At 41.4% G+C, this 22,887-nt stretch overlaps 1 protein-coding gene across 13 annotated transcripts in view, besides 1 other annotated feature; it reads left to right on the top strand.

The window, feature by feature from the left end:
• CFAP221 (cilia and flagella associated protein 221) overlaps window positions 1-22,887 on the top strand; it is a 115,875-nt gene that overhangs the window by 76,063 nt on the left and 16,925 nt on the right. For 9 of the 13 annotated variants that reach the window (NR_073132.2, XM_006712353.4, NM_001271049.2 and 6 more), the window contains 7 exons: window positions 5,072-5,177; window positions 7,142-7,275; window positions 9,364-9,444; window positions 10,059-10,166; window positions 10,256-10,390; window positions 17,748-17,906; window positions 19,270-19,361. Coding sequence is in view for 9 of the 13 variants with exons in the window: in XM_006712353.4 (XP_006712416.1) it covers window positions 5,072-5,177; window positions 7,142-7,275; window positions 9,364-9,444; window positions 10,059-10,166; window positions 10,256-10,390; window positions 17,748-17,906; window positions 19,270-19,361 (815 nt within the window). In the remaining 4 variants the exon portion in view is untranslated. Of the gene's footprint in view, window positions 1-5,071; window positions 5,178-7,141; window positions 7,276-9,363; window positions 9,445-10,058; window positions 10,167-10,255; window positions 10,576-15,729; window positions 15,835-17,618; window positions 17,710-17,747; window positions 17,907-19,269; window positions 19,362-22,887 lie in introns of those variants that run through there. The other 4 variants (XR_922883.4, XM_017003558.2, NR_073133.2 and 1 more) reach the window with 4 other exon arrangements.
• Window positions 9,790-9,899: a silencer, noted in NCBI's record as "silent region_11909". NCBI's record gives its function as "represses an Ori minimal core promoter by ATAC-STARR-seq in GM12878 lymphoblastoid cells {active_cell/tissue: GM12878}" and the evidence as "EXISTENCE:reporter gene assay evidence [ECO:0000049][PMID:35858748]".

The raw sequence follows: 22,887 nt of genomic DNA on the forward strand, positions 1-22,887 counted from the left end.
AATAAAATCCTTTACAGACAAGCAAATGCTGAGAGATTTTGTCACCACCAGGCCAGCCTTACAAGAGCTCCTGAAGGAAGCAATAAATTTGGAAAGGAAAATCCGGTAACAGCCACTGCAAAAAACATACCAAATTGTAAAGACCATCAACACTATGAGGAAACTGCATCAATTAATGGGCAAAACAACCAGCTAGCATCATAATGACAGGATCCAATTCACACATAACAATATTAATCTTAAATGTAAACAGGTTAAGTGCCCCAATTAAAAGATACAGACTGGCAAATTGGATAGAGAGTCAAGACCCATCAGTGTGGCGTATTCAGGAGACCCATCTCACATGCAGAGACACACATAGGCTCAAAATAAAGGGATGGAGGAATATTTACCCAGCAAATGGAAAGTTAAAAAAAAAAAAAGCAGGGGTTGGCTGGGCATGGTGGCTCATGCCTGTAATCCCAGCACATTGGGAGGTCAAGGCAGGCGGATCACCTCAGGTCGGGAGTTCGAGACCAGTCTGACCAACATGGAGAAACCCCGTCTCTACTAAAAATTCAAAAATTAGCCGGGTGTGCTTGTGCATGCCTGGAATCCCAGCTACTCAGGAGGCTGAGGCAAGAAAATCGCTTGAACCCGGGAGGCGGAGACTGTGGTGAGCTGAGATTGTGCCATCGCACTCCAGCCTGGGCAACAAGAGTGAAACTGTGTCAAAAAAAAAAAAAAAGCAGGGGTTGCAATCCTAGGCTCTGATAAAACAGACTTTAAACCGACAAAGATCAAAAAAGACAAAGAAGGGCATGGTAAAGGGATCAACACAAGAAGAGTTAACCATCCTAAATATATATGCACCCAATACAGGAGCACACAGATTCATAAAGCAAGCTCTCAGAGACTACAAAGTGACTCAGACTCCCACACAATAATAGTGGGAGACTTTAACGCCCCACTTTCAATATTAGAAAGATCAATGGGACAGAAAATTAACAAGGATATTCAGGACTTGAACTCAGCTCTGGACCAAGTGGACCTAATAAATATCTACGGAACTCTCCACCCCAAATCAACAAAATACACATTCTTCTCAGCACCACATTGCACTTATTCTAAAAGTGACCACATAATTGGGAGTAAAACACTCCTCAGCAAATGCAAAAGAACAGAAATCATAAGAGTCTCTCAGACGACAGTGCAATCAAATTAGAACTCAGGATTAAGAAACTCACTCAAAACCGCACAACTACATGGAAACTGAACAACCTGCTCCTGAATGACTCTGGGTAAATAACGAAATGAAGACAGAAATAAATAAGTTATTTGAAACCAATGAGAACAAAGACACAACATACCAGAATCTCTGGGACACAGCTGAAGTAATGTTTAGAGGGAAATTTATAGCACTAAATGCCCACAGGAGAAAGCAGGAAAGAACTAAAATCGACACCCTAACATTATAATGAAAATAACTAGACAAGCTAGCAGCAGACAAAAAAATAACTAAGATCAGAGCAGAACTGAAGGAGATAGAGACACAAAGAACCCTTCAAAAAATCAATGAATCCAAGAGCTGGTTTTTTGAAAAGGTTAACAAAATAGATAGACTGCCAGCCGGACTAATATAGAAGAAAAGAGAGAAGAATCAAATAGACACAATAAAAAATTATAAAGAGGTTATCACCACTGATCCCACAGAAATACAAACTACCATCAGAGAATACTATAAACATCTCTATGCAAATAAACTAGAAAATCTAGAATAAATGGATAAATTCCTGGACACATACACCCTCCCAAGACTAAATCAGGAAGAAGCCAAATCCCTGAATAGACCAATAACAAGTTCTGAAATTGAGACAGTAATTAATAGCCTACCAACCAAAAAAAAGCCCAGGACCAGACAGATTCACAGCCGAATTATACCAGAGTTACAAAGAGGAGCTGGTACCATTCCTTCTGAAACTATTCCAAACCATAGAAAAAGAGGGACTCCTCCCTAACTCATTTTATGAGGACAGCATCATCCTGATACCAAAACCTGACAGAGACACAACAAAAAAAGAAAATTTCAGGCCAATATCCCTGATGAATATTGATGCAAAAATCCTCAATAAAATACTGGCAAACCAAATCCAGGAGCACATCAAAAAGGTTATCCATCACGATCAAGTCAGCTTCATCCCTGGGATGCAAGGCTGCTTCAACATATGCAAATCAATAAACATAATCCATCACATAAACAGAACCAATGACAAAAACCACATGATTATCTTAATAGATGCAGAAAAGGCCCTTGATAAAATTGAACACCCCTTCATGCTCAAAACTCTCAATAAACTAGGTATTGATGGAACGTATCTCAAAATAATAAGAACTATTTATGACAAACCCACAGCCAATATCATACTGAATGGGCAAAAGCTGGAAGCATTCTCTTTGAAAACTGGCACAAGACAAGGATGCCCTCTCTCACCACTCCTATTCAACATAGCGTTGGAGGTTCTGGCCAGGGCAATCACACAAGAGAAGAAATAAAGGGTATTCAAATAGGAAGAGAGGAAGTCAAATTGTCTCTTTGCAGATGACATGATTGTATATTTAGAAAACCCCATTGTCTCAGCCCCAAATCTCCTTAAGCTGATAAGCAACTTCAGCAAAGTCTCAGGATACAAAATCAATATGCAAAAATCACAAGCATTCCTATACACCAATAATAGACAAACAGAGAAACAAATCATGAGTGAACTCCCATTCACAATTGCAACAAAGAGAATAAAATACCTAGGAATACAACTTACAAGGGATATGAAGGACCTCTTCAAGGAGAACTACAAACCACTGCTCAAGGAAATAAGAGAGGACACAAACAAATGGAAAAACATTCCATGCTCATGGATAGGAAGAATCAATATTGTGAAAATGGCCATACTGCCCAAAGTAATTTATAGATTCAATGCTATTCCCATCAAGCTGCCATTGACTTTCTTCACAGAATTAGAAAAAAACTACTTTAAATTTCATTTGGAACCAAAAAAGAGCCAGTATCGCCAAGACAATCCTAAGCAAAAAGAACAAAGCTGGAGGCATCATGCTACCTGACTTCAAACTATACTACAAGGCTACAGTAACCAAAACAGCATGGTACTGGTACCAAAACACATATATAAACCAATGGAACAGAACAGAAGCCTCAGAAATTATGCCACACATCTACAACCATCTGATATTTGACAAACCTGACAAAAACAAGCAATGGGGAAAGGATTCTCTATTTAATAAATGGTGTTGGGAAAACTGGGTAGCCATATGCAGAAAACTGAAACTGGACCCCTTCCTTAACACTTTATACAAAAATTAACTCAAGATGGATTAAAGACTTAAATGTTAGACCTAAAACCATAAAAACCCTGGAAGAAAACCTAGGCAATACCATTCAGGACCTAGGCACAGGCAAAGACTTCATGACTAAAACACCAAAAGCAATGGCAACAAAAGACAAAATTGACAAATGGGACCTAATTAAACTAAAGAGCTTCTGCACAGCAAAAGAAACTATCATCAGAGTGAACAGGCAACCTATAGAATGGGAGAAGATTTTTGCAATCTATCCATTTGACAAAAGGCTAATATCCAGAATATACAAGGAACTCAAACAAATTTATAAGAACAAAACAAACAACCCCATCAAAAAATGGGTGAAGTATATGAACGGACACTTCTCAAAAGAAGATGTTTATGTGGCCAACAAACATATGAAAAACAGCTCATCATCACTGGTCATTAGGGAAATGCAAATCAAAACCACAATGAGATACCATCTCACGCCAGTTAGAATGGCAATCATTAAAAAGTCGGGAAACAACAGATGCTGGAGAGGATGTGGAGAAATAGGAAAGCTTTTACACTGTTGGTGGGCCTGTAAATTAGTTCAACCATTGTGGAAGACAGTGTGGCAATTCCTCAAGGATCTGGAACCAGAAATACTGTTTGACCCAGCAGTCCCATTACTGGGTATATACCCAAAAGATTATAAATCATTCTACTATAAAGACACATGCACATGTATGTTTATTGCAGCACTATTCACAATAGCAAAGACTTGGAACCAACCCAAATGCCCATCAATGATAGACTGAATAAAGAAAATGTGGCACATATACACCATGGAATACTATGCAGCCATAAGAAAGGATGAGTTCATGTCCTTTGCAGGGACATGGATGAAGCTAGAAATCATCATTCTTAGCAAACTAACACAGGAACAGAAAACCAAACACCGCATGTTCTCCCTCATAAGTGGGAGTTGAAGAATGAGAACACATGGACACAGGGAGGGGAACATCACACACCAGGGCCTGTCAGAGGGTGGGTGACTAGGGGAGGGATATCATTAGGAGAAATACCTAATGTAGATGGCGGGTTGATGGGTGTAGCAAACTACCATGGCACGTTTATACTTATGTAACAAACCTGCATGTTCTGCACATGTATCCCAGAACTTACAGTATATATTAAAAAAAAAAAAGAGCTGCTTACAGAATGGAAAGTGATGTAAATAAATTATGGAATGAACAATACCCTCAGCCACAGCTCTGGGCTCAGGTAGCACTCACCTGCAGTAGCATCAGCTCTGAAGGCAAAGCTCATTGGTAGGCAGTTAGCATTGCCCATAACCCACAGTGCTATTGCTGCAGAATCACCCGTGCCATTTGTCCTTCAACTCTGAAAATAGCACAGTGGTAGCATTACTATTCAGACATATCCAGAAGAAACAACAAAGAACTAGTCATTCTTTCCACACTGGAAATATGAGAAAATCAAGGCTCATAAATTGAGTGGGACAAGGCCAGATGACAACTTGATCTTTTTTGTATTCAGGCAAGTCAGTATTGCCCAGACTTTGAAGTCCCTGTGGCCGCAGCCTAGGGAGAGTAGCATGCCACACTCCCTGTGGACTCTGACTTGCAGTGGCAGTCTCAGCTCTTAGTGTGGTTGGGGAAAGTGAATTAGGTTGAATGCCAAAATGAGCGTGTGTTGATTAATAATTTGAAATCATTATCCACTCCAATTTCAGGTCATGATTCAGGGACGATTATTCAATATGCTGAGTGCTGTTCGTGAAATGGACAAAGAGAGTATACTGAGAAAGATTGGCCAAGCAAAACAATCGATAGCACAAGGTGAAGTATGGCTGCAAAGCACAGAGATGCCGAGACTGATCATGCCTCTGAGCGTGAACTTTCCTTAGAATGAAGTTAGCTCTATGCAAATAAAAAATTTTCACCAGTCACAAATGTTAGTTTCCTATCCTTGCTATAACAAATCACTTGTGCCTTCTGCTTCCTCTTGTCACCAGAGACTAGGTTAGTCATCATTTATACTTGCTGATTGACTGGCTGAATATGGTATTTTCTCAACCTAGCATTCACACATTAAGCCTTTTAAACTTAATGGCTTAAAAGAATGCAAATTTATCATCTCACAGTTCTGGAGGTCAGAAGTCTAAAACCAAGGTGCTGGTAGGGCTGCGCTCCCCCCAGGGGTTTCAGGGGAGCCCAAGTCGTTGCCTTTTCCAGCTCCTGGAGTCCACCTGCATTCCTTGGCTTATGGCCCCTTCCCCACATGACTCTAACCTCTTGCTTCTGTCCTCACATCTCCTTGTGTGAGTCTGACTCCCCTGTTTCCTTCCTATGCAGACTCTGATTATATAAGGCCCACCTGTCTAGTGCAGAATAATCCCCCATCACAGAGCCCCATCTGCAGAGTGCCTTTTACCATGGAAGATAACACATTCACAGGCCCCTGGGAATGGGATGTGGGTACCTCTGAGTGCCATTATTCAGCCTATCTGATGATATAAAGTGGATCTCTGTGCCAGGTTTGGCTGAAATACCTACCCACTTGATAATGAACAAGGTCCCCCAACCCCATACCAAGTTGTAATGTCTGTGAAGTTTGGCTGTGACTAGACCTCCTGTTTTGTGCCCTCTGCTTCTTCTTGTCACCAGAGACTAGGGTAGTCATCATTTATACTTGCTGATTGACTGGCTGAATTTGGTATTTTCTCAACCTAGCATTTGCACATTAAGCCTTTTAATCTTGTATGGTCTTTCCCTAAGTTAAGGAAATTTCCATGCTGGCCACTGTGGCCACTGTAGTACATGCCTGTAATCCCAATACTTTGAGAGTCCAAGGTGGGAGGATCACTTGAGCCCAGGAGTTCGAGACAAGCCTGGGCAACATACATAGTGAGACCCCTGGATAATTAAAAATTATCCAGGACCGGTGGCATATGCCTGTAGTCCCAGCTACTCAGGAAGCTGAGGTGGGAGGATCAGCTAAGCCCAGGAGTTCAAGGTTGCAGTAAGCTATGATCGCACCACTGCACTCAAGCCCAGGTGATAGAGCAAGACCCTGTCTCTGAAAAAAAAAAAAAGAAAGGAATTCCAATCCTCTGATGCCCAGCTTGGCTGGGACTGTTGGAGGCCCACTCTCGGTAGCTTCTGGGAGCCCAAACACCATATCGCCATCTTCTCCCAATACATATATTCCCAATCCACAGTTTGTTTGCCAGCCCACAAGCAGGCCCTAATCTTTCCAGACTCTTCCTCCCTTCCTGGCCTGAGCCTCTGAGCCTGGCTCAGCCTTCCCCATCCTCCCTAGGCACAACCACACTCCCGTCTGCCACTCCACTGAGACCCAAATGTGTATTTTGTTTTTCAAAATATTGTACAACATTTTAATGATTCTTTCTTCCTCCTATATTAATTTTTATCTCTGATGTTGAAGTTTCTAATAAAGAAACTCTTTTTTCTAAAAAATTATAAAATTTACTTGTGAATTCCATGGGTCTGTGTAGAAAATGTCTTCATTTACTTCTTTAATCTTTTTCTTTGCTTAATTCATCAGAAATATTTTAATTATGAATTATAGTTTTTTGGAAATAAAGATAAAATTTTTTTAACCAGAAAGGAGGTTGAGGTAAGGAACCAATGGGACAGTAAAAGTGGATATATATATATATATATATATATATACACACCCACCCACTAATTGGTATATGGAAAATATGCAAATATATATGGTGATTTCCCATAAAAATACCTTTAGTACCCCCTAAAAGTGCCCTTTTTTTCACCCATAGAGGCGAATTTCTTCAAATTCTTCCTGAGGCGGATCAGTCAGGATGATTATACCAGCCGGTTCTCTGTGTCGCCCAAGGAGGTGCTGCCCTTCGCTTTCCCAGACTGCAGCCCACCCCAGGACTCCAACGAGTTGGTAGGTGCCGTCAGGCTTGGGGGCGGGGAGTGGACATGATCATGATCGTGTTGGGCAGATACAAGGCAAGCCCTACCTCAGTCTCAGTCCCTTCACCTCCTCCCAGAGGCTCCAAAGGAAGATGAGGAGAGTATTACCAGTGGAAAACCAGGGATCATCTCCTGCCATCTGCCTTGCTCCTGATACACCTGCACAGAGCTCCCTGGTAACCTGGACTGGGTCCTTCCCAGCCTGAAATGCAGCATGAGCACTGACCCCCGCCCAACTGCCCTGGAACTGCGCCTGAGTGCAGAAGGGCAGAGAGAGGAACCGAGAGGGCCCCACCTGGCCCAGGGAGGCAGGCTCTGCTCAGCTTGGCCCTTCTGCTGCCTGGGCAAATGGTAGAAGTCAGGGAAGGGCAGCCCTCAAGTCTGGGCCTGACCTCATAAGAAGGGAATGTGGCCCCAGAAACTGACAATCTAACCCATCAGACTCACAACCCACTTCTCTCTCTCTCTCTCTCTGGGGGGTGTGTGTGTGTGTGTGTGTGTGTGTGTGTGTGTGTGTGTATCTTTCTCTCTTGGGGTAGCAGGAGGTATAATGGCTCATCCTTCTTCCCTTCGGGCACAATGGTGCATTATTGAAAAAGTGAGAGTTAACCCTTAGGTTGTATTTACTATACATCAGGCAGTGTCTTAAGTCCTTCCGGTTCATCTCATTTAATCTTCAACAAATCTACCTGATAGGTTTACCATTTTTCAAATGAGGAAACTGAAGCACAAATTCACATAGCCAGTAACAAAATGTTGCTCGAGTTCACATCGTTAGTAATAAAAAGTATACTCAAATCAATATTGCAAGTGCATGTGCAAAATATTTTGTCAATTTCAAAGAATAAACTTGTCATTCACATTCTAAAATATTTGTTAAGCATTGCAGGTAATCTACTCAAGAATTACGGGACTGAATTTAGAAATTCCACATGTTTTCTGCTTTTGATAATTGTGTGACTTAAAAGAGCAGAATAATTAGTTCCTAAAGAATAAAAATCCTGTGATTTTCAAGCAACAATAAATGTCTGACACTCGATAATTAATGGGGTGAAGAGGTTGATGGGGTGGAAAGAGATCCTCACTGTGCAGTGGAGCCCCCCTCATTATTTTTGAATAATTTGAAGCTGATATGTTTCATTTGATATTTTAGTGCTACAAAGACTTCTCTGCTGCTCAGGGTTATTGAAAAATAGAGCGCTCAGCATTCCTGTCTATAAAAAAGAATGAATTAATTTATTTTATAAATACTGTATTTCATCAATTGTAAGATGCCTTTTTCTTACATTTAGCATCTCAAAATTGGGAAATGGTGTCATTGTGGCATATTAACGTTTCATCATATTAGTTTAGTGATGGTGTATTAGATTAGGGGTTGTATGCTATTTTTTGAGTGCCTGTCATATTCAGGCACCATCCAGATCCTCTGGGTGTTTGAGGCAGACTAGCATGCAGGAAGTGTATTAGGCAGTTCTTCGGGGGTTCACACCTGTGGAAGGCAGATAGAGGGGACAGGATTGGGTGGAGAGAGAAGTAGGACTGGGGTCCACCTCAACAAAGGCCTCAGCTGGGCCTGTGAGAACTCTGAGGCTGGCACAGGGTGAGAGGACACAGCATGTTTCCCGTGGCTTCAACCTGCCATGGAGGTGAGCTGCCTGGGAGGAGCGCTTGACTCTGACTGATGCAGTGCCGTTCAGATGAGGCAGCCCCTGAAGAGGGCTCCCCTGCCCCCAAGAGGTGTTTCTATCCCTACACTCCTGGCAGCTAGGGACTGAGTCCTTCAAGCCTGAGTCCTTCAAGCCTGAGGAAGTTTCTGAGTGACACGTTGCAGCCTCCGCAACCACAGAAAATAAGAGACTCACATCCACTAGGAGACATGGAGGAGGGGGTGATCAGGGCTGCCTTCCTGCCCTACAGATCAAGTGGCAACTGTGGTTGCAGGAGGAGTTGCTCTGAGAGTAGAACTGGTCACTAATGTTTCAAAATGTAGTGGAAACAGAAGCATAGCCACTCTTGCTCAGTGGTGATTGTTCTCTTTTTTTCTCCTTTCACATTTTAGGCTCCTGATGGCCTTGGACTGGTCCCAATTAAGTCTTCAGAAGTTCAAATCAAGCAGAGTTATTCCTTCTTCAATCTGCAGGTCAGACCTGTCACATAAATTAATTAATTGAGTTTCTTATTAAGTAAACAAAATATTCTTGAATTTGAATTGCAGTGTTTTATAGTTTTGCTTTATGGTAGATTAGACTGTGTGGCACACTCTACTGTTTTTGGATGGCATATGGGAGGTACAGCAGATTCTTTTCTCATAGTGTGGCTTAGGCAAACCAGGATTTCTACTCTGTGGATATACCTATATCATGCATATATGAAGCTATCTGAACTACGTATGTTAGAAACTTCAAGAAAAAATATAAGATAAAGTGAGCAAAAATTAGTCAGCCTTTCTTGAGGTATATGACCACTTCTGTTTTTTAAAATGAAAATATTTTGGTGTGCTTCTACACTTAAGCCGTGTAGTATGGTTGAGTAATCATGAACACTCATGTGTGCTGAAACCCAGAACAGGGCTCAGGACTTTCACTAAAGTCTGTGCAGTCTGGTCCAAACCAACAATAGCCACAATCCGATGACTACAACATGGTGCTTGTCTTACTTTTACCACCAGGAAGCTCGGAAATGCTGTTGTTGAGAAGTAGATCCCACCAAATGGTAACAGGTTTTTAAGGATTTTCAATCTTCTTTCACCTTCAGGTTCCTCAACTGTACAAAATTAAGAGATATCAGCCATTCTCTGTCCACAAGTCTTCAACAAGTTACAGACCTCAAAAGCTTGCCCGAGCCCTAAAGCAAGGAGCTGAGGTAACACACCCCCATCTTCCAGAATCTCTCTCATCTTTTCCCTCTTATCCTGGCATCAAAACTAACGTGCTGTCCTTGCTCCTTGTTAGGATGAAGTCACCACCATCACAGCCCTTCCGAAACAGGACTCCACAACTCAGCTCTCTGGCAAAACATCAGTCTTGAGCATGAAACCACCTGAGGCCTTAGCCATGTCTCTAGATTATGATCCTCTGTATGTTTTTGTAAGTGACAACTGGCAGAAGCCTTGTTTTCTGTGTTCCTTTATTTCAGCAATTACTCTATAGGAAACAGAGCACTCATTGGGAATATTTTTTCTCTTTGGAATTTCAAGTGTTAAACAATATCTGACCTTTAATATTGTTTGCCAACCTTTATTTTTTGGAGAATATCAGTGATTCCGTCTTTTAGCAATTCCTGCATTTTTAATGAAAATAATTTTATGATCTTTTCTAAATATCTATAATATGTACATATAGGCCAAAGAAGAAATTGAAAAAGAAATTAGCAAGTATTTTTAAGTGAATGAAAATGAAAACAAACAAAAAATCTGTGGGAAATTAACAGCACTACACACCTACATTGGAAAAGAAGAAAAGTTTCAAGTTAATGTCCTAAGCTACCCCTTTAAAAAATTAGAAAAAGGAGGGCAGATGAAACCAAACTAAGCAGAAAAAAGAAATAATAAAGGTCAGATTGAAAATCAATGAAATAGGCCGGGCACAGTGGCTCATGCCTGTAATCCCAACACTTTAGGAAGCCAAGCCGGCAGATCATTTGAGGTCAGGAGTTTGAGACCAGCCTGGCCAACATGGTGAAACCCTGTCTCTACTAAAAGTACAAAAAAATTAGCCAAACGCGGTGGCACCTGCCTATAATCCCAGCTATTCAGGAGGCTGAGGCAGGAGAATTGCTTGAACCCAGGAGGAGGAGGTTGCAGTGAGCTGAGATCACGCCAGTGCACTCCAGCCTGGGTGACAGAGCAAGACTCCATCTCAAAAGAAAATCAAATGAAATAGAAAGCAGAAAAACAATAGAGAGAAAAACTGGTCCTTTGAGAAGATCAATAAAATGAATAAACCTGTAACCTAACTGATCAGGAAAAAAGGCAAAAGGCACAAATTACCAATGTCAGGAATGAGGAAGATGACATCACTACATATTCTACAGATTTTAAAAAGATAAGAAGTTAATATTATGAAAAACTTTATGCCAGTAAATTTGATGACTTAAGTTAAATGTGCAAATTCATTAAAAGGCACAAACTGTAAAATCTTATTTAAGAGGAGATAAATAGCCAAAATAGCTTTATATCTGTTAAAGAAATTGAATTTTTGGTTGAAAACTTTCCCACAAAGAAACCTCCAGGCCCAGAGGCCTTCACTAGGGAATTCTGCCAAATATTTAAGGAAGGAATAATACAAAATCTACACGAGCTCTTCCAGGAAATGGAAGAGAAGAGACTAATTCCCAAATCATTCTGGAGGCTAGTATTACTCTGATACCAAAGCCAGACAGAGATATTACAGGAAAAAAAAGAAAAGATCAATATCCTTGATGAACATAGATGAAAATATTTTTAACAAAATTTTGATAAATCAAATTAATTGCTATATAAAAAGGATAATGTATCATAACCAAATAGGGGCTTGAACCAGGAATACAAGATTAATTTAACATTACAAACTCACTGTAGTTTACATATAACACACCAAAAAGGAAAAACATCTCAATAGTAACAGAAAAATTATCTAACATCCATTCCTGATGAACACTATCAGCAAGTGCGGGATAGAAGGGAACTTCCTCAACCAAATAATGGTCATCTATTTAAAACCTAGAGCCAACATCAAACGGAGTAGTAAATCACTGAATGCCTTCCTCCTAAGATCAAGTATAGGGCAAGGATGTCTGCTCTCACTAATTCTATTCAGGATTATAAGTATAGCCAAGGTAACAAGACAAGAAAAATAAATAAAAGGTACCCAGATTTGAAAAGAAGACATAAAGCTGTCTTTATTTACAAAAAAAAAAAAAAAAAGATTGTCTATCTAGAAAATACAATGAAATCTACAAAAAAAACTACTAAAATTAATAAGGGAATTTAACAAGATTGCAGGATGCAGAATCACCATATAAAAATCAATTATATTTCTGTATACTAGCAACAAACATTCTGAAACTTAAGTTTCAAAAGCCATATCATTTAACAATAGCATCAAAACATGAAATATTTAGAGATAAATATGACAAAAATGTATAAGACCAGTACACTGAAAATTATAAAACATTACTGAGAGAACTCAAAGAAAGCCTAAATAAATGGAGAAATAAACAGATTAATGGAACAGAATAGAGGATCCAGAAATATATTCATTCATACATTATGGTCAACTGATTTTTGACAAAGGTCAGAGGTAATTCATTAGAGAAAAGATAATCTTTCAACAAATAATGTTAGAACATTTGGATATCTATTTACCAAAAACAAAAATAAAAATTTCAATTAGTACCTCACACCATCTACATAAATTAATACAACATGGATCATAGACCTAAATAGAAAACCTGAAACTATAAAACTACTAGAAAACACATAGAAAATCTTTGTGATCTTCAATTAGACAAAGATTTCTTAGATAAAACACCAAAAAACCACAATCCATAAATGAAAAAAAAATGGATTAATTGGACTTTGTCCAAATTAAGAATTTCTGTTAATGTTAAGAAAATAAAAATATAAATTACAGACTTGGAGAAAATATTTGGAAATTGCATATCTGATAAGAACTTGTATCCAGAATATATAAGGAACTGTCAAAACTCACAAAGGAAACAGTCAACAGAATGAAAAAGTGACCTACAGAATAAATAAATATATAGTCAGCAAACTATATATTTGATAAGGAGTTAATACCAAAATATATAAGAAACTTCTACAAATCAATAGTAAAAAAAAAAACCTAATAACTCAGTTTAAAAAGTGGGTTAAAACTTGAATAGACATTTCTCCAAAGAAGACTTATAAATGGCCAACAGCTATATGAAAAAAATACCACCAATCCTCAGAAAAAAAATGAAAGCCACAATGAGATATTACCTAACATCTGTTAAGAAGGCTATTATCAAAAAAATAAAACACAGTAAGTGTTAAGGAAGATGTAGAGAAATTGGAATCCTTACACACTATTGGTAGAAATCCAAAATGGTGCATCCACTGTAGAAAATAGTATGGAGGTTCCTCAAAAAATTAAATACAGAACTGCCATATGATCCAGCAATCTGCTGGGTGTGGTGGCACATGCCTATAGTCCTAGCTACTTGGGAGGCTGAGGCAGGAGGACCTCTTGAGTTCAGGAGTTCAAGGCTGCAGTAAGCTGTGATTTCACTACTGCACTTCTGCCTGGGCAACAGAGTGAGACCCTGTCTCGAATAATAATAATAATAACAGTAATAATAATAATGTGATCCAGCAATCCCACTTCTGGATATGTTTCCAGAAGTATTAAAATCAGGGCTAGGCATGGTAGTTCATGCCTGTACTCTTAACACTTTGGGAGGCTAAGGCAGGAGGATCAGTTGAGCCCAGGAGTTTGAGACCAGCCTAGGCAACATAACAAGACACTGTTTCTACAAAAAATTAGTCAGGTGTGATGGCAGAAGCCTGTAGTCCCAGCTATTTGGGAGGCTGAGGTGGGAGGATCATTCGAGCCCAGGAGGTCGAGGTTGCAGTGAGCCATGATGGCACCACTGCACTCCGGCCTGGGTGACAAAACAAGACCGTGTTTCAAAAAATAAAGACAGAGAAAGAAAACAGGATATCAAAGAGATATTAGCACTCCTATGTTCATTGCAGCACTATTCACAATAGCTAAGATGTGGAAACAATCTAAAAATCTATCAACAGATGAATGGAATAAAAAAAGTGGCATATTCAGACAGTGGAATACTATTCAGCCTTAAAAAAGGAAGGAAATACTGTAATATGCAACAGCATTGATAAACCTTGAGGACATTATGCTAAGCTAAATAAGCCAGCCACAGAAAGACAAATACTGTATGATTCTGCTTATATGAGATATTGATAATAGCCAGATTGACATAATCAAGAGTGAATGATGGTTATCAGAGGCTGAGAGAGGGGAAAACGGGGAGTTACTAGGCAATAGGCATAAAGTTGCAGTCAAGAAAGACAAATCTGCTCTCACAATCTGCGGTACAACATCGCACTTATAGCCAATAATGCACATTTAAAAATTTGTTAAAAGGGTAGTTCTCATGGTAAGTGTTGTTACCACCATATAATAAATAATTTTTAAAAGAATTATCAGAACTCAATAATAAGAAAGCAAACAATCCAATTTTAAAATGGGCAAAAGATTTGAACACATACTTCACCAAAGAAGATATACAGATGGCAAATATGCACACGAGAAGATGCACAGAATAATACATCATTAACAATGCAAATTAAAACGTCAATGAGATCTCTCTGTTAGAACACCTACAATTTGAAAAACTGCTGGTGGGAATGTAAAATGGTACAACTACTTTGGAAAACTGTTTGGCAGTTTCTTACAAAGTTAGCAGTTAACATACACCCACCATATGTCCAACCATTCCATTCCTAGCTATTCACCCAAGATAAATAGAAGCATTAAACTTGTGCAAGAATATTCATAGCAGATTTATATGTTCCCAAACATATAAATCTTGGGTAAAAGAAATCAGACAAAAAAGATTACATGCTGTTTTGTTCAATTTAGTTAAAAGTCTAGAACATCTGAAGTAATCTACAGAGACAGAAAGATTGGTGGCTGCCTGTGGATGGGTTGGGTGGATGGTGTGGAGGGGCAGGAAGTGAGGATGGGGGAATGATGAAGGGCATGAAATAACTCTTGGGGGTGATGGAAATGTTCATTATGTTTATGACGGCAATGGTTTTGCAGGTGAAACAAATGTTATATCAAACTATGTAATTTAAATGTGTCATTTATTATACATCAACTATACATCAGTACAGCAGTAAAAGTAGGAATTAGGAGACCCTAAGGAAGGAAAAGAAATACTGTAGTGGTTACAACCGGTGAAGCATTATAGTGAAGTCTTGGGCTGATCTCTGGTCATTCAGTCTGGAGGAGGGAGGGTAAAGGGCTCTGAGAAAGAGGTGTCTAGGAAAGGGTAGGCTCCAAGCACTAACAGTGCAGTTGAGAGTCTCGAAGACTCAAGGATTGCATAAAGGCACATCAAGAAAAGAAGAAGCAATTATAATCTACAAGGGGGGAAATCAACTGAACATCAGTATGTGCTCCAAATAGGAAACCAAACTAAAATTTGACATGATTTTTAAGAGCTGATGGAAAAATCTAAAAATATAATCCATTTGGCCTTGATACCAGAACTCTTCTCTAACGGTGGCCCAGAGGTCATGATATTGAACCTTTAGCCAAAATATAAATAAGTAAATAAGCCAAACCCGTAATCCAAGCCTCTACTTGGCCTGGAAGAGAAACATATTTACATAGCTGAGAGTAAATGCTACTTATTAGTTTTCAACTTTTAGAGACAACCCATGAGCAAAGCATGAAGGTCTTGGCTGTAGTTCCGGAAGGCAAATGTTAAGAATCTCAACAATATCAAAGGAAAATTGTGAAAGCAAGAAGAAAAGGTACAGAAAAGCAGAAGAATGATGTTTTGATTTCACCTGAAGGGGAGTTGAAATACTCAACTAAAGATGATGTACAAGAAATAGGGGTATGTGTGTACCATTTCAAGTCACAATGGTGAGCAAAAGCAGAATAATGTAATCTTCAAAATAGGAAAGAAGTTTGGAAGGGGCATTTGTGTACCTAAGCGAAGTCCTTGTCTTGCATAGTAATGAGTCAGTAGATACTGCCTGAGGTTGACAATCAAGAAGTGGAAGAATAAGCATGATGTTTAGAGTTAGGGTGGTGACCACCAGAGTCACAAAAGCCAGAAACAAGGGAAAGAAGCAGCCTCTGGGATGTGGGCCTGGGAACAGGAAGGGCCTGCGGAACCACTGCTTTTCCTCACAAATCCTTGCAGCCGAGGTGAGTCGCTACCACATGCATGCGTTAGTTTAGGAAAATTAAAATTAAAAGCATCATGGGGTGACCACTGAGACCAGTTACTCTGGGAGCAATGGGGATCTGAAGGATGACAACTATGGGAGACAGTGCCATTGCCATTTCCACAAAGACTGCATTCATGAACGCCTGGCCCAAGGCAGACCAAGAGAGGCGGCCACATGGCAGCTTCACATGCCCTCAGTCAACCAGAGTAGAAGACACTCCTGAAGCCCACACAGGTCATTTCCCCTCCCCTGGTGTTGTGTACCTTTGCCCTCACACTATCCCCATAGGGTGGGCCCAGCCCCACTCCCCATCACACTGCCTCCCTAAATCCTGCCTCAACCACAAGTGCTTACCAAGGTGTATGCTTGTTTCCACATTACTGTGGGCATCTCAGATCCCCTCAGTGGTCATCGTTGCCTTCCTGCCCTCCCCACTCGTTTATATCCAGGAGTTGAGCCCAGAGCCCTCTCCCTACCTTTGCCCCAGGCCCTCATCCTGGCCCTCAAGTGGCATAGCAGCCTCTGCACCAACGCTTACCTCCTTTCCAGCCTTCTTGACTCACCACCGCTGGGCCCTCCCCTACCTTGCATCTGGGTGCCGGAATGCATTCAGGTCTAGCTGCATGTCACTTAAGTTTGGGGGGACATTTGTTTCTTGGCAGTGAGATTGAGTTTCCATAAGCTAAGTGGTTTTGTGGGGCGTTTTTAACTTGTTTTTAAAAGTTAGACAAACAAACAACAGAATCTCAGTGTAGTGGTTATTAAACATCAAACATCTGAGGTTAAACAGCTGGCAGGGAGGGGCGCTACGTTGTTTGGGACAAGAATAGGGTTTTTGTTTTACGAGCCTCTGAGAGAACAGTAAAAGGCTCTATATTTTAGTATTTTGATATAATTGCTCTGTGCCTCCATTAGTTCTGCTGGAAAATTAATAAAAAACAGGATCTCCCTTAAAACCAGATACTACTTCCAAATGGAGCCTTCCTGAATCAAACACATTACCAAAACAATGTTAAATGTTGACATTTCCTGATACATCGAATGTCATCCTCTTTTTTGTCATCTCTTTAAAGTAGCTTTTAAAAGCCTATTTTTGTTTTCAAAAGCAGAAGCTTATTTGCTTTTTTAAACCAGTGTGCTCATTTAATAACTCCCCCTAATTCATCAGCATTAGCAACAAATACTCAAAGCTGTTTTAAGCTGTGATTTCGGTTGTACTTATTTTCATGGGAGTTTAGTAAACCCATATGGTTTGTAATGAAGCTCTTAAGCCAGAAAAGTGACATTTATGAATGACTATGATTTTTTAAACGCTGCCGACTTGAAGACACCTCTGCTCTCCTGCTTCTCTTTTCCAGACAAGCTGACATGGAGTCACAGAGTGTTAGTGCTAGTGGGAGCCACAGACAGCATTAGCTGATGCCTGTCCTATGCCTGGCTTAGAAACTGGTAAACAGAAAAGAATATTTTTTCCCTGTCTTCGGCAGAATCCCAACCCAGGATTATTTGCTGTAATGCATCCTCTGACCTATGCAGAAACGTTGATAGATTACCATCTATGCTCTCACCCCAAGTACAAATTCACCAAAGAGTCCCGCCACGGGTCCAGCATTCCTGTCACCCAAAAGCAGTTTCTCCATCACACGGTAATGTCATCACCAGGCTCACTGGCAGAGTGACCCTGGGCTGCAGGGAGGGGCAGGGGACAAGGACAGGGTCACAGCTGGAATTGCGACAAAGGTTTGCCGCCACAGCTGCAGAACAAGAATGGTAACACCGCCCCTCATACCGCCAGCCCTAAAGGGGTACAGGTGGAGACCCCGCACCGCCTTGTCCTGACCACACCTGCCTCTCGGGCTGCCTGCTACCCTTTGTCAACATTCCTCTGGAAGGCTGCACCTAATGTTCACGTGTTTGTATTTCAATCATGTAAAAACAGCCACACGGTATGCACAACCGTTGGTCTGACCTCCTCTCTCTTTGGCCCCAAGTGTAGAAACCAGAATGGACAAAGTAGTGGAGTGACACATGCAAAGAAGTGGCTCCAAGGAATTACTTCCCCCCCAGGGAACCACCCTGACCTGAATATCCCCTGACACCCCTTGAGGATTATCCTCAGGCCCTTCAAGCTCAATTAACCCTTAACTCAGATTATGAGCTCTCTCCCCACTTCTACCAGCCACACCCTCAACTGCCTCCTCTTCCTGTGTCACCTACTTGCCTTTCTGTTTTATGGACTTTGTGTAGTTACCCATGAGATCCTTTCCCTCCTTCTCCCCCATTCCCCTCATCTAACCACCCCGGGGGGGTGGGGGGGCGGGCACCGGTGTGCCACTGACACACTGATGTGCAGACCTCCCTCTAGTCTAGCCCTTGGCCCACTGCTGCTGCAGTCAGCCTTCCCTTCAGAGAAATCTTCCTTATGCACGAGTTGATCCTGTCATTTCCTGCTCGAAAGCCCTCCGTGGGTCCCCGCTGCCTGCTGTAGCAGCTCCAAGCTCATTAGCTTGGCCCACAATGCCCTCGTGACCTGCCTGGCTCTCCAGCCACATTCCCTTCTGCCTCTATCATGCACCCTGCACTCAGCCCAGCCGGGGGTCTCCTTGCAGCGCTCGCCTCCCACGTGGCGCGCGTGTGCAGCTCTCCTGCCTGGAGTGCTGCTGGATGAACTGCCATCCTCTCCAAGTGTTGCATTAGCATCACATTCACAATAAACAAAATAGATTCTAAGGCCGCAGCTGCCCTCCATCCCGAGGACATGTTGCTTGTGCAAGTGCCTAATGAAGCAAGGGAAGCAAACCTCGCCTTTGTCTCTAATTCTGTGTTGCACTGTTTAATGTGCTTTGCTGAAGCAATTGCCTTTTTGCTTCAGAAAAATTCAAACTGAATGAAATTACAGATTTTGGTGCTTAGCCTTTTAAGTCTGAAAAATAGTTGAATAAAACAAAAGTCCTTCAGAAACTTTACCTCACCAAACAGTTGCTTCCCATGTGCTGACTTTCCTTACAGGACATTATTCCCGGAATAATGCACTGGAAAAGCTTCCAGTCCCTGGTTCTCTCCTCCCTGCCGGACCCCTCCAAGATGGAGACCACAAAGAGGTAAGCACAGCTCATCTGTTTGCTCACGAGTATGTGTGCCCCATGTATTACAGAGGCAATGATCCCCAAAAGTTAAATGCCAATAATATGTCAAACCATACTTTTAAAGCATGAGAGAAGTTTGCTAGTCAAAGAAATTTGATGATGTGTAACTGATTTTCATATTTGGAATTTATCTTGAGATACACTTCTTTGAAAAGTAATGTCCTAGGTGACGAATTGGCAATGCTTGAGTACAAGTAGACAACCATTCCATATAATTCAACTGAAATATTCATGGTCAATCTTTTTAAAATTCATAAATTGCGGCCTGGGTGACAGAGAGAGACTCCATCTCAAAACAAAAAAAAAAAAGGAAAAAAAATCATAAATTGCCAAGATTAGCCTTCCGCAGTCTCTGTATCCAGTTCCAAAGGATCCATGGCCCTCTTGTGCCACAGGCTGGCATTCACTGTGAGACCATGGCAATCCCCACACAGAAAACAGCCCTGCTCCAGATACACAATGGGTAGATCAGAATATTGTTGGATGATGAAAGAAGAAACTTAGAGTGACTACATTTTTGCTAATTTGCTTATTTAATAGCTCTTCAAAACCATAAGATATCAAAGAAGTAGCCTGGTGCCTTTTCATTAGACTCTGCCTGGCCAATCGCTGACTCCTGAGCCCTTGAATTCGCTTCTTCAGTTCACTATCCTTATAAATACAGCTAAGTGAGTGATTGGTGAACAGATGTGACTGGTGTCCCAAAATGATTATCATCAGCTGTCAAACAAAGTTCCAATCCTCTGATCCAGAATGAGGCCCACCCCAAGGTGGCAGAGCCCTGGCATGGCTCCAAGAGTGGCCAAGAAACCTGAGCTCTGCCACCAACCAAGATCAGTAGGTGATCTTTACACACACCCCAGCTCCCACTCGGGTAACCTGGATCCTCTGACTCAGAAACTCACCAGGGAGGCTACATGACCTCCAGGAGTCATGTGACCTCAGCCATGCCCCTTGGCCAACTCTCTGGGCCCAGTCCTCTTGTCAGTAAGACAAGGGGATTGGACTTGTTGCAAAGGCCATTCTCAGCGTTGATGTTTTAATTTTAGTAAGAGTACAAGAGCTCACCCAACTTGTAGTGTACAAGTGCAGCCGTCCCATCCACCCACATCCACCCACACCTCCCCAGGTATTTGAGGAGATAGTTGGAATCTGGGTTGTGACCCCAGAACACTGAATTTGACTTCCTCCTTCATCATCTTCATTGAAGGGCTTCATTGGTAAGCTCTTCCTGAACTAAGCCAAATGCAGCTGTACGTCATCTACGTCAAGGCTTTCCCATGTGCCGTCCCCTTGGGGTCACTTCCTTAGGGCTTCTCTACTCCTCTCCTTTGCCTGAAGATTAGCATGCGGTAAACAAAAAGCACCCAGCATAGGATTTGGGACATGGCAAGAGCTCAAAAATATGCTTCTTTCCAATTATTATACTTCATCCTTTCCTCAACCACCCTATTGCCATCTGAAAACCAGCATCCTTGTTCTACATTTTTAGCATATTTCTAGAATGTCAAATCTCCAGAACTGGCGGGAACAATGGCATGGAAGAGAGAAGGAAAGCTTTGGCATGGGAGAGACCTGCCTCCATTGTACACTGGATGTATCACCAGTTCAGTCCTTGGGCGAGCTACGTACTAATGAAGCCCTTCGAGCAATAATCTCCTCCTCTCTGAGGGAGAGGCAGTGATGGCATCCTCACATTTGTGTGTGTGTGAGGATAAAAGTGCAATGATCTTGTGAAGCATCTAGCATCATGCCTGGTGCATGCTTAGTAACTCTTCTCTCACTTCTACCCTCCTTCCCCGCCCACTAAGCGGCGCAGTCACTCCATCGCCACCAGATGGCGATAGTCCGTCACCACATTGACAGACTGCCTCATTTTGCTGCGGGGTGAGGATGCTTCAGAACTGACCTATGCAGTCAGTAAACCGGGTCTGGGGTGCTGTCAGCACACTGAATAAGAAAAATGAGGAATGGTGAGAAGTGGCGACCCGCTGACCATGTCCACCCGTTGTCAGCGTGTACCGTTCTTGAGAATCAAGAAAAAGCATCCTATTTTCTTTCCAAAGCAATGTCCTTGGAAAAAAATCTCCCGAGGCTGTTCTTTCAACAAGCAGTGAGAATGCAGTTACCTTGGGCTTGAATAACCATGAATTAAACATGAACTCTCCATGAATTAAAGAAAACTCTCGAACCATGAGTTGTTACTTTCAGCTTATGTGCCTGAGTGCTCTTGTTGGGCCAGTTTGTTTCTAAATAAACTGCAGTTGCATAACAGCTCATAAAATCAAGGGAGGATTCTGTATCTATCTTCTTAGCATGGATTTCCACGGGATGTAAGACTCTAGGTCATGTTTTTATTTCTGAAAACAGGTACAAAATAAGAAGTGTAATTCCTTTTTTAAGTTCTGTCTTAGTTCGTTTGGGCAGCTATAATAAAATACCATAGATGTAATTTATGAACAACTGAAATTTATTTCTCAGTTCTGGAGACTGGGAAGTCCGAGATCAAGGTGCCAGTAGACTTGGTGTCTGGTGAGGGCCAGCTTCCTGGTTCCTACATGGTTGTCTTCTCACTGTGTCCAAACATGGCAGAAAGGGGAAGGGAGCTCTCAGGCCTTTTTTTTTTTTTTTTTTTTTTTTTTAGATGAGATATCACTATCTTCCACGCTGGAGTGCAGTGGCATAATCATAGCTCACTGCAGCTTCAAACTCCTGGGCTCAACTGATTATCCTTCCTCAACCTCCCAAGTAGCTGGGATTATAGGTGTGCATCATCATGCTCAGCCAATTTTATTTATTTATTGTAGAGATATGGTTTTGCTACATTGCCCAGGCTGGTGTTGAACTCCTGGCCTCAAGCAATCCTCCCACCTCAGCCTCCCAAAGTGCTGGGATTACAGAAGTGGAGCCACTGCACCCAGCTTCTCAGGCCTCTTTGATAGGCACTAATCCTATTCATGAGGGCTCCACCCCTATGACCTAACCCACCTCCCAAAGGCTCCATCTCCAAATACCATCACATTGGGGGTTAAGTTCTTGTTATTTTTAATGTAAATAGGGATAGGGTCTTGCTATGTTGCCCGGGCTGATCTCAAACTCCTGGCCTCAAGTGATCCTCCCACCTCGGCCTCCCAAAGTGTTGGGATTACAGGTGTGAGCCACTGCACCTGGCCTGGGAGTTATGTTTCAACGTGAATTTGGGGAGAACACAAAATTCAGTCCATAGCAACTTCCTATAAATCCATTAATGATATTCCAACTTTGCAGCCATTTTGCTTGAATAAATTAGCTCCTATTACTTACGAGGTTTGCCTTGTATCTTTTGCCCCTGACAACTGTTTGTTGTTAAACCATGCAATATAGTTAGTGTTTATTTATTCCAAGTCATTTTTGTATTCGTAATAATCGAAGCAGCTCATTTATTTCTTTACTCTTCAGTAAATTCAGAGATAACTTGTTAAATCTCTTTGGACTTCCATAA

Source organism: Homo sapiens, chromosome 2 (assembly GCF_000001405.40).
Source record: "Homo sapiens chromosome 2, GRCh38.p14 Primary Assembly".
In the NCBI taxonomy this organism is placed as follows: Eukaryota; Metazoa; Chordata; class Mammalia; order Primates; family Hominidae; genus Homo; species Homo sapiens.